General features: G+C 51.7%; 1 long non-coding RNA gene across 7 annotated transcripts, besides 1 other annotated feature; it reads right to left on the minus strand.

Moving 5' to 3' along the window:
- Positions 1 to 9,029: 9,029 nt before the first annotated feature.
- On the minus strand, positions 9,030 to 11,737 carry LOC124904754 (uncharacterized). 7 transcript variants are annotated; one of them, XR_007067317.1, is made up of 4 exons: positions 11,631 to 11,737; positions 10,858 to 10,996; positions 10,057 to 10,097; positions 9,030 to 9,659 (listed from the first exon to the last, which is right to left on the minus strand). It is a non-coding gene; the product is annotated as an uncharacterized LOC124904754 (long non-coding RNA). The 7 variants fall into 7 exon arrangements; XR_007067314.1 differs by lacking the exon at positions 10,057 to 10,097 and adding an exon at positions 11,143 to 11,245 and having other exon boundaries at positions 9,030 to 9,481; XR_007067315.1 differs by lacking the exon at positions 11,631 to 11,737 and having other exon boundaries at positions 10,858 to 11,601.
- Positions 9,404 to 9,698: a silencer, noted in NCBI's record as "tiled region #4853; HepG2 Repressive non-DNase unmatched - State 22:ReprW". NCBI's record gives its function as "represses a minimal TATA promoter and a strong SV40 promoter by Sharpr-MPRA in HepG2 cells {active_cell/tissue: HepG2}" and the evidence as "EXISTENCE:reporter gene assay evidence [ECO:0000049][PMID:27701403]".

Genomic DNA, 11,737 nt, shown 5'->3' on the forward strand with positions numbered 1-11,737 from the left:
ATTACCACATTTCTCCAAGTTTCTGTCTTTCTCTCCATCCCTTTCTTCCTCTCCACTTCTCTTGCCTCCTCTCACCCTCATTTCTTTCTCTTCTTGCTTTAAAGCTCTCCCCACCTCCCCCTTCTCACCTTCCCCAGTCACCCCCGCCCTGCTTCTCCCCACAGCCGCCTCTCCTGTCCCCAGAATCCATCTCTGGGTTGGGCCCCCCAGGGACATGTCTCAGCAACTGGCAGATGGAACGAAACTCACACACGTGCGTGCTGTGGGTGTGCCTGTGTGTACGCTGGCCCGAGGCACGGCTGCCTGGAACCGGAGCTGTGAGTGAACATCTGTCCATTCAGCGCCTAACTGACGTGGGTCTGCGTGTGTGCACCAGGGTCTGGGGTGGAGAGCTGGGGCGCTGGGATTTGTATCCCCAGGGACTCAGGGATGAACACAGAGAGTTGTCGGTCAGCTGACCCTGGGGAGCCAGCCGGGGTCTGTCAGTGCTGTCACCCATCAGGGAAACTGAGTCAGAGGAAGGGTGAAAAGAGATGCGGGACCTGGGGTGCCCGAACCCCAGCCCCTCAGGACCAGATCTGTGATAAATGTCTGTTTACATGCCCTTCTTTCCATGAATTTTTTAAAAAAACTATCTGTATCTAATTCTGTTCTTCTCTCTGCTCCTCTTACTGTGAACTATTGATGTCTCACTTTCGGCCTTGGTAGCTGCCTCGGTAGCTGCCTCGTTCTTTTCTCCCTGCCTGTGACTCCAACGACCTTTGGTGTCTGGCACGGGCCAGCTCCAGGACAGGCTGAAAGACATGGAGCAGCAGAGAGAAATTCCCCCGTGCTTCTCTCTCCTCGTCTGTCCCTCCCCAAATCTCTGTCATTTTGTATCTGTCACCCCATCTCTGTTTCTCGGTCCCTCTATTTGGGTCTCTGCCTCTGTGTATTCCTGTCTGTTTCTCCTCCTCATCCCCCCTCACAGCCATTCTCTCTCTGCTTTTACCTGGGAGTGTCTGTCCCTTTGCATTTCTGAAGTCTCCCTGACTTTCTTCTTGTGTGGCTCTCTTTCTTTCTGAGTGCCTCTCCCTGACTTTCTCACTGTGTGTCCATGTGTGTGTGTCTCTTTCTCTCTGTCTCTTTTTCCCTCTATCTCCCTCCCTCTCTAGCTCTGTCTCTATCCTCCTTCCGTCTCTCTGCATCCCCATCTCTCTCTTTTTTTTTTTTTTTTTTTGAGACGGAGTCTCACTCTCTCACCTAGGCTGGAGTGCAGTGGCGTGAGCTCGGCTCACTGCAACCTCCGCCTCCCGGGTTCAAGCGATTCTCCTGCCTTAGCCTCCCGAGTAGCTGGAACTACAAGCGCCCACCACCACACCTGGCTAATTTTTTGTATTTTTAGTAGAGATGGGGTTTCACTATGTAGGCCAGGCTGGTCTCCAACTCCTGACCTCAAGTGATCCATCTGCCTTGGCCTTCCAAAGTGTTGGGATTACAGGCGTGAGCCACCGCACCTATCTCTTTGTAAGGCTCTATCTCTGTATGTGTTTCTCTGTCTCTGTCTCTCTCATTCAGTTTCTCTCCATTTCTCTGTTTCTACATCTTCGTCTCTCCCTGCAGTTCCATCTCTTCCAGCCTGTCCCGGAGCTCTCCCCTGCCAGACACCAAGTCCTCACACCAAGTCCTCACACCCTGGGGTTTTCCCCGAGGAGGCTGCGCCAGGCCAAGCCTCTGCCTGGGCCTGTCAGGGAGAAGGTGCATTCCCAAGGAGCTCGAACGCCCTTCCCACCCACCAGGGCGGGCCGGGCTGTGTCTGACGCTGTTGCCGGGAGCCGGGCTGCCTGGTGTCTGGCTGTGTCAGGATGATGGGTCCTCAGATGATCTGAGGCCAGCCCAGAGCAGAAGGGGAGGGTGAGTCCTCCGCCCAGTGGGAGGGGGCAGCGCAGGCTCCTCCCCAGAAGTGGGGCATTTGGCTGCCCAGCCCCCACCCCGCCCTGCTCGGGTGGAGCAGCTGTATAAAACCAGATGTTTCTAAAACCAGAGTGCGGTTGAGGAAGGATAACCAGGGCTTTAATCCTCAACAGTTCCCTCCTCTAAGACCCAGGAGTCCAGGTTCCCAGCACCCTCCTCCTTCAGACCCGAGAGTCCAGACCCCAGCCCTTCCTCTCTCAGGCCCAGGAGTCCAGGTTCCCATGTCCCTCCTCCCTCAGACCCAGGATCCCAGACACCCAGCCCCTCCTCCTTCAGACCCAGGAGTACAGGTTCAGAGTTCCTCATCCCTCAGACCCAGGGTCCAGACCCCCAGTCCCTCCTCCCTGAGACCCAGGAGTCCAGGCCCCCAGCCCCACCTCCCTCAGACCCAGAAGTCCAGGTCCCCAGCACCCCTCCCTCAGACCCAGGAGTCCAGGCTGCCAGCCCCGCCTCCCTCAGACCCAGGAGTCCAGGCCCCATCCCCTCCTCCCTCAGACCCAGGAGTCCAGGCCCCATCCCCTCCTCCCTCAGACCCAGGAGTCCAGGCCCCATCCCCTCCTCCCTCAGACCCAGGAGTCCAGACTCCATCTCCTCCTCCCTCAGACCCAGGAGTCCAGGCCCCCATCCCCTCCTCCCTCAGACCCTGGAGCCCAGGCCCAGGCCCCCATCCCCTCCTCCCTCAGACCCAGGAGTCTCAACTCCCAGCTTCCTTCTCCCTTAGACCTACATGTCCAGCCCCCAGAATTTCTTGCAGGAAGAGATGACCAAGGCTGGAAGCAGCCCAGACAAGTGCTGAAAGACAGGGAGCAGTGAAGCTGAACACTCCCACAGCAGGCCGGGGCTGTTGTTGGAGGGACAGGTAGGGACACCGCACCCCTCGCTAACACCCATGGCTCCTAGAAACCCCCATTCCTCTGGTGGCTGCTCTCCAGTTCCTGCCCTGGGTCCACAGTGGCCTTCCCAGCATTTCAGCCATCATCAGGAAACCTCAGGGTACAGCTTACAGAATACCTGGACAGAAGGAGCACAGGGTGGGAGAGGTAAGGCAAAAATGGAGCAAAGGCAGAGGAGAGAACATTCATTCATTGTGGGGACATCTCCTGAGCCCTGGTGGACAGGGCTGGGCTGGGCGATGCCGGGCACACAGAGATGACTCAGCCCTGGGCCCTGCCCTTGGGGAGATGCCAATCTGGTGGAGAAGACAGCTGTGTAAACAGAGGGCCACAAAACAGTACAAGGATGCACCAACCCAGCCCAAGAGTCAGGGAGGGCTTCCTGGAGGAGGTGATGCTGGCTGATGAGGCGTTAGCCGTGGTCAGGGTGGTGGTGGACGGTGGGGCAAGAAAGGGGCATCCAAGGCAAGAAATGGTGTGGCCAGTCAAAAAAGTAAGGGCGGATTGATGCTGTGAAGCACAAAGGGTGAAACAAGGGGCTGGGGGATTGTAGGGTCCCTAGTGAGGTCCGCTCATTTAGGTTTAAAAAAATTTTTTTTGGCCAGGCACAGTGGCTTATGCCTGTAATCCCAGCACTTTGGGAGGCCAAGGCGGGCAGATCACTTGAGGTCAGGAGTTTGAGACCAGCCTGTCCAAAATGGTGAAACCCCGTCTATACTAAAAATGCAAAAGTTAGCCGGGTGTGGTGGCGTGCACCTGTAATCCCAGCTACTCAGGAGACTGAGGTGGGAGAGTCACTTGAATGGGAGGCGGAGGTTGCAGTGAACGAAGATTGCGCCACTGCACTCCAGCCTCCCGTCTCAAAAAAAAATTTTTTTTAAACTAAGTAACAATTATACATATTTATGGTATACAACATGACATTTGCTATATACATATATATATATTCGTTGTGAAATGGCTAAATCAAGCTATTTAACACATGCAACGTGTCGGGTTTTGAATGCAGGAATCAGAGGCTAGGACTTTGCTCTGGTGGCAATGGGGAGCCATGGAAGGGCTGTGAGCAAGGGAGGGGCAGGATCAGCTCTTTGTCTGAGTAAGGGACAAACTGGAGGGAGAGACAGGGGGCTCTGGGCCAGGATGAGTTGCTGGGGGGTGGGGTTGCATCAGAGATCCCTGGGGCTTTTCCAGGCTAGAGAGGAAGTGTGAGTGAGGTTGGGCAGAGGTGCAGGACCCCGAGGAGCCAGGACCAAGAAGACTGGGGGATGGACACAGACATGGCGGGCTAACTTGCCAAGCCCCTAACCTCAGCTAGTTCTGGCTACAGTTGCTCCTCGCTTTGCTCCATCTCAGGCAGGTACCTACTGGGGAACCAGTGAGGGCAAGGGGCCCCTGGGCAGTAACCTGAAGAGATCCTTGTTTTATTAAATGCTTGAATCCCGGTAGATGGTTTCTTTGCCAGGTGTCCTGGATTGGGAAGGGAAATGCACACTGCGGGGATCTAGATACCGAGAGACAGAGGAGAAAAGGAGGGAGGGAGAGGAATGAAAGACAGAAGCTGGCTTCCACGACCATCTATTCAACAGCGAAAAACTGCCCTACCCCTGGATTCCTGACCCCCTTTACTCTCTTCTGCTTTTTCTTTTTCCCCATAGCATTGGTCCCCTTCCTATATAACGTATAACCTGCATAAGGTACGTTTAGTATCTTTTTTGTGTAATGTGTGTCTTCCTGGTTCGAATGCAAGCTCTAGACAGGCAGCTGTCTTTATCTGGTTTGTTCATGGCTCATTCCTCAGAGCCTGGACCTGTGTCTAGGTAGGTGCTCAACAAATATGTGTTGAACAATGTGTGAGGTCAGGATAGAAAGTCAGATTGGTAGATGGAGAGGGGAAAGAAAAAGGAGAGCGACCGGGCACGGTGGCTCACGCCTGTAATCCCAGCACTTTGGGAGGCCAAGGCAGGTGGAGCACTTGAGGTCAGGAGTTCAAGACTAGCCTAGCTGACATGGTGAAACCCCGTCTCTACTAAAAACACAAAAATTAGGTGGGCGTGGTGGTGCATGCCTGTAGTCCCAGCTACTCAGGAGGCTGAGGCAGGAGAATCGCTTGAACCCGGGAGGTGGAGTTTGCAATGAGCCGAGATCACGCCACTGCACTCCAGCCTAGGCGACAAAGCGACTCTGTCTGGGGGAAAAAAAAATGGAGAGGAAGGAAGGAGGGGAAGGAAAGATAAGGGAAGAAGGAGGAAGGAGAGGAGGAGGGAGGGAAAGAGAGAAGGAGGGGGAGGAAGATCAGAAGAGGAGGAGGAGAATGGAGGAGGGAGAGAGAGAGGGAAGGATAGGCAAGAGGGGGAGGAGAGAAGTTGGGGAGAGAGGGCCTAGCAGCTGGGACCCCCAACCGACTCCTGCGTAATAGTTCTATGGACACCACTCAGAGTGGCCAGTCCTGGGAGGATGGGTTGAGGAGCTCCGGGGAGGTGGGACCTTAGAGGAAAAAGACTCCAGGATCAGCAAAGACCCCAAGTCTGTAAAGAGACTGCCTCTGGACTTCCAGGAACTCAGAACCTTGGATGGGCTGGAGTTAGACGGGACCTTTTCTCCCCCACATGCCTATTCTGGGAAACCCCTAGGCTTCCATGATTCTGCCGAAATCCAGGGAGGGAGGGAGGGAGCCTAGCCAGCAATGATGACTGTACATCCACCTTCTGCCTCCAGCTAGTGCCTCTGGGAGAAACTGTAGGACTTCCAGAGCTGGGAGGAGGGAGAGAAAGGCCTGGAGGGGGAGAGCCCTGCCTGTAACAAGTTGAAGGCACTTTCTACCCCAGCATGCACCATCTCTCCTGCCACTTTCCCTGGAGAGAAACAGAGACAGTAAGAGCCAGACAGAGGGAGAGGGAGGGAGGGGCTTCCTTTTGCAAAAGCTGTTTATCCTCTCCAGGGAAGCAAGAGAGGAGGAGACCCATTTTCCAGATAGGGAAACTGAGGCACAAGAAGAGTCATTTCCTGGGACAAGTGATACAGCACACAGGCAGCATGGCTGGGTAACAGAAATCAGGTGGTAGGCATTAGGTCACTAGGCTATGCCCTGCCAGTCACAGAGGAAGGAGGAGCTGGGGGCTTAGACTAAGATCTGAGAGCCTGGATTCCTGAGTCTGAGGGAGGAGCGGCTGGGATCTGAATTCCCTGGTCTGAGGAAGGAGGGGCTGGACCTGGACTCCCGGGACTAAGGGAGGAGGGGCTGGACCTGAACTCCTGGATCTGAGGGAGGAGGGCCTGGGACCTGGACTTCTGGGTCTGAGGGAGGAGGGGCTGGGGGCCTAGACTCTGGGGTCTGAGGGAGAAGGGGCTGGACCTGGACTCCTGGGTCTGAGGGAGGAGGGGGTGGGGGGGCTGGCATCCAGTGGGCTCAAGATGAGGCCTGGACCCCTAGATTCTCAGCTCTACTGCGTTCCGAGCTATCAGGGAATCTGCCCCGATATTCATGTAGGTTCTTTTCTATTTTCCTTAAGCGTTGGCCAGCTTGAGAAATAAAGGGACAGAGTACAAAAGAGGGAAATTTTAAAGCTGGGTGTCCGGGGGAGACATCACATGTCGGTAGGTTCCGTGATGCCCCACAAGCCACAAAAACCAGCAAGTTTTTATTAGGGATTTTCAAAAGGGGAGGGAGCGTGCGAATAGGTGTGGGTCACAGAGGTCACGTACTTTACAAGGTAATAGAATATCACAAGGCAAGTGGAGGCAGGGCGAGATCACAGGACCGCAGGACCGAGGCAAAATTAAAATTGCTAATGAAGTTTCAGGCACCATTGTCATTGATAACATCTTATCAGGAGACAGGGTTTTGAGATCAACTGGTCTGATCAAAATTTATTAGGAGGGAATTTGCTCTTCCAAATAAGCCTGGGAGCGAGCGCTATGGGAGACTGGAGTCTATTTCACCCCTGCAGTCTCGACCATAAGAGACAGGAGCACCTGGGGGGGATATTTATAAGCCTATACCTCCAGGCGCGTATTCTCTTTCCCAGGGATGTTCCATGCTGAGAAAAAGAATTCAGCGATATTTCTCCCATTTGCTTTTGAAAGAAGAGAAATATGGCTCTGTTCTGCCTGGCTCACCAGCGGTCAGAGTTTAAGATTATCTCTCTTATTCCCTGAACAACTGCTGTTATCCCGTTCTTTTTTCAAGGTGCCCACATTTCATATTGCTCAAACACACATGATCTACAATTTGTGCAGTTAATGCAATTATTACAGGGTCCTGAGGCGATATACATCCTCCTCAGTTGACAGGATTAAGAGATTAAAGTAAAGACAGGCATAGGAAATCACAAGGGTATTGATTGGGGAAGTGATAAGTGTCCATGAAATCTTTACAATTTATGTTTAGAGATTGCAGTAAAGGCAGGCATAAGAAATTACAAAAGTATTAATTTGGGGAACTAATAAATGTCTATGAAATCTTCGCAATCTACGTTCTTCTGCCATGGCTTCAGCCGGTCCCTCCATTTGGGGTCCCTGGCTTCCCGCAACACCGAGCCCTGACAGAAAACTTCCCAAGCCCAGGTTCCTCTTGCACATGTGGTTTAGCTCTGTGGGTTACCCCCTCCTCTCTGTAAGTTCCCATTGTCCACCTTGCCTCCTGCATCGGCCTCCACCACAGTCAGGGCAGAGGAGTCTCTGTAGGACAAACACAGCAATCAGATTCAGAAAATAGATCCAAAGGTGGGGATCCAGGGCCCAGGGCTGGTGGCCTGGACCTCTGGGGCTGCCAGGGAGGAGTAGGTTTGAAAGAAAACCCTGGGCCAGGCGTGGTGGCTCACGCCTGTAATCCCAGCACTTTGAGAAGCCGAAGCAGGCGGATCATGTGAGGTCAGGAGTTGGAGGCCAGCCTGGCCAACATGATGAAATCCCGCCTCTACCAAAAATACAAAAATTAGCTGGGTGTGGTGCTGGGCGCCTGTAATCCCAGCTACTCGGGAGGCTGAGGCAGGAGAATCGCTTGAACCCGGGAGGTGGAGGTTGGAGTGAGCCAAGATTGCACCACTGCACTCCAGCCTGGGGGACAGAGTGAAACTGTGTCTCGAAAAACATGAATAAATGCAAGAAGACCCTGTTTCTCCACTCCACACTTCTGACACCAAAGAGGCCGGGCTGCATTCCCACCAACAATCAATTCTCCAACTCTCTGGACAGCAACTGCATGTGTAACAACTCACTTCAGTTCTGACACTAACTCCCTGGAGTTAGCACAGCCCCCACAGGTTGAGGGCTCAGTCCCACGGGAGTGCCCCCGACTTCACATGCCAGTCACAGGCACTGGGACCACAGGGTACCCACACTTCTATCTGACTTGGCTACAAATCAGGGGTCCCACAACCCCTTCCTGACATTCCATAATTTGCTATCACAGCTCACAGAACTCAGGGGGGTGCTTTACTTCCATGTACCAGTTCATTATAAAGAGTATTATAAAGGTTACAGGTGAGTGGCCAGATGAGGGGGAACATAAGGTGAGGTCCAGAAGGGTTCCAAGTGTGAGAGCTTCTGTCTGCGATGGCGTCATGTGGACGTCTTCATCAACCTGGAACTTCTCGGAACCCTATTGTTTAGGGTTTTTGTGGATGTTCCTTTACCTGGGCATTGTTAACAGAAAAACCAAACTCTATAAAGTATTTTATTGTATTTATTTTTATTTATTTATTAATTTTTGGAGTCAAGATCTCACTCTGGAGTGCAGTGGCACAATCATGGCTCACTGCAGCCTCAACCTTCTGGGCTCAGGTGATCCTCCCACCTCAGTTTCTTGAGTAGTTGGGGCTATAGGCGTGTGCCACCACACCTAGCTACTTTTTTAATTTTTTGTAGAGATGGGGTCTCCCTAGGTTACCCAGGCTGGTCTCAAACTTCTGGGCTCAAGTGATCCTCCTGCCTCAGCTTCCCAAAGTGCTGGGATTTTTGGCGTGAGCCACCACACCTGGACTCTGTAAAATATTTTAAAGAAGTTTATTCTGGGACAATTTCAGTGACCGTGGTGTGCCCAAGGTTGGCCAGATTAAGTTTGGTTTGATGTTGCAGCCATAAAAAAGAATGAGTTCATGTCTTTTGCAGGGACATGGATGAAGCTGGAAGCTATCATTTTCAGCAAAGTAACACAGGAACAGAAAACGAAACACCGCATGTTCTCACTCATGCGATCATGAGTTGAACAATGAGAACACATGGACACAGGGAGGGGAACATCACACACCGGAGCCTGTCAAGGGAGGGGGTGTGGGAGATAAGGGAGGGAGAGTATTAGGACAAATACCTAATGCATGCAGGGCTTAAAACCTAGACGATGGTGCAGCAAACCACCATGGCACACATATACCTATGTAACAAACCTGCACATTCTGCCCATGTATCCCAGAACTTAAAGTAAAAATTGATTTGATGCATTTTAGGGAGGAAGGAGTTACAGGCAAAGTCATAAATCAGTACATGGAAGACATACATTGGTTTGGCCTGAAAAGGCAGAATATCTTGAAGAGGGGCGGGCTGACAGGTTACAGATGGATTCAGGGCTTCTTTAATTTGCAGTTGGTTAAAGGAGTAAGGTCTGCTTAAAACCTGGAGTCTGCAAAACCTGGAGTCTGCAAAAAAGAATGTTTTAAGATAAGGATGAGGGATGTAGCAAGATTGATGGCCCTTAGAAGTGACTTAACACTTGCCTTAGGTCTTGTATGTAATTTGGTATCTTATCATCACAAAGAGTCTGTTTTGTCAATCTTACGACGTCTATTTTAACTATAATGCTGGTCTTCTGTGTTCCTAAACTCCAAAAGAGAAGGGGCATAAGAAGGCGTGTCCCACCTCCCTTGAAGTCATGGCCAGGAACTCAGTTTTTAGGTTTCTCTGGGATCCCTTTGGCTAAGAAAGGGTCTTGCTGAGTCAGTGGTGGTGATGGTGAGTGGGGTGGAGGGAGGGCCTTAGGATTTTATTTTTATTTTATAGCATGATTGATTAAATCATTGGCCACTGGTGATTAGTCAATCTCCAGCCCCTCTCCCTTCTTGGAATTTAGAGCATGAGGCTAAAAATTCCACTGGGATCACAGGGTTCGTCTCTCTGGCAACCATCCCCGATCCGCCCAGATCCTCCTCATTAGCATAAACTCAGGTATGGCTGGTAGGGGCTAATTATGAATAACAAAATATGTTCTTCTCACCTCCTCACTCAGGAAGTTACAAGAATTTTAGGAGCTCTGTGCTAGAAATTAGGGGCAGAAAACAAATATATATTTATTTATTTTTAGACAAGTCTTCACTCTGTGGCCCAGGCTGGAATGCAGTGGTGCAGTCACTGTTCACTGCAGCCTCAACCTCCCAGGCTCAAGCGATCCTCCCGCCTTAGCCTCCTGAGTAGCTGGAAATAAAGGCTGTGCCACTGTGCCCAGCTAATTTTATTATTTTTTGTAGAGACAGGAGCTCACTATATTGCCCAGGCTCACTATATATTGCCTATATTGTCTCAAACTCCTAGTCTCAAGCAATTCTCCCACCTCGACCTCCCAAAGCACTGGAATTACAGTTGTAAACCACCTCACCTGGCCCAAATACATATTTCTTTCTTTTTATTTTTTATTTTTTGAGACAGAGTCTTGCTGTGTCATCCCGGCTGGAGTGCAGTGGCGCAATCTCGGCTCACTGCAACCTCCACCTCCCAGGTTCAAGCGATTCTCCTGCCTCAGCCTCCCGAGTAGCCGGGATTACAGGCGTGTGTCACCACACCCAGCTAATTTTTGTACTTTTAGTAGAGACGGGGTTTCACCGTGTTGGCCAGGCTGGTCTCGAACTCCTGGCCTCAAGTGATCCGCCTGCCTTAGCCTCCCAAAGTGCTGGGATTAAAGGCATGAGCTACTGCGCCCGGCCCCAGATATATGTTTCTTATTGTCTTAGTCCCTTCTGGCTGCTCTATCAAAATACCCTAAGCTGGGTGGCTTATAAACAACAAAAATTTTATTTCTCACAGTTCTGAGGCTGGCAAGTCCAGGACCTGGGTACTGACAGATTTGGTGTCCGGTGAGAGTGGATTTTCTGATTCATAAATGGGGTCTTCTTGCTGTGTCCTCACATGGTGGTGGGGGCAGGGTCCTCTCTCTCGGGCTTCTTTTGCAAAAGCACCAATTGCATGCATGAGGGCTCCACCCTCATAACCTCATCACCTCCTAAACATGCTCCCTTCTAATAACATCTCCTTAGGGATTAGGATTTCAACAATGAAGTTTAGGGGACCCGAACACTTATTCCCTCACCGTTAGTTGCCTGTTCTTGGCGTGGAGCCATTTCATTCCTCTGAGCCTCTCTTTTTTCATCTGTAAAATGGGACTGTCTCAATTTGTCCTTCATAGGATAGCCCTGAAGATTAAGAGAGAGAGTCTGTCTGGCACATTAGAATATGAGGTGAGTTTAGCCGTTCCTGAAACAGCAGAGTTTGAAGGTCTCCAAGACTAACTCAGGTGGCAACAGGGGGATGCTTCCCTGGATACCCCACCCCTTCACCCTCCCTGGATACCCCACCTCTCCTCTGAGGAGTAAGCCAGGTTGGAGCTGGGAGGAGCCCACACTCTGTCATCAGACACCCCTGGGTTCCAAGGCAGGCAGGCTTGCGCAAGCCAACTCCTGGCTCTGAGCCTCCTTAGCCACCTGCAGACAAGGAGGACCCTTCCCCATGTTGATGCAGGTGAGTGGAACTCTGTTTGGTTCCTAGTCTTTCAAGCATGGGGTGAATAGACCCTCTTACCCGGGACATAGCAGAAAGCTCCAAACAGTTTGGTGAACAGCCAGACTGTGCAGCACAGAGAGTGTGTCATCAAAGGGGCACGCCTGTGGGCTCCAGATAGAGGACAC

This window comes from Homo sapiens, chromosome 19 (assembly GCF_000001405.40).
Source record: "Homo sapiens chromosome 19, GRCh38.p14 Primary Assembly".
NCBI lineage: Eukaryota > Metazoa > Chordata > Mammalia > Primates > Hominidae > Homo > Homo sapiens.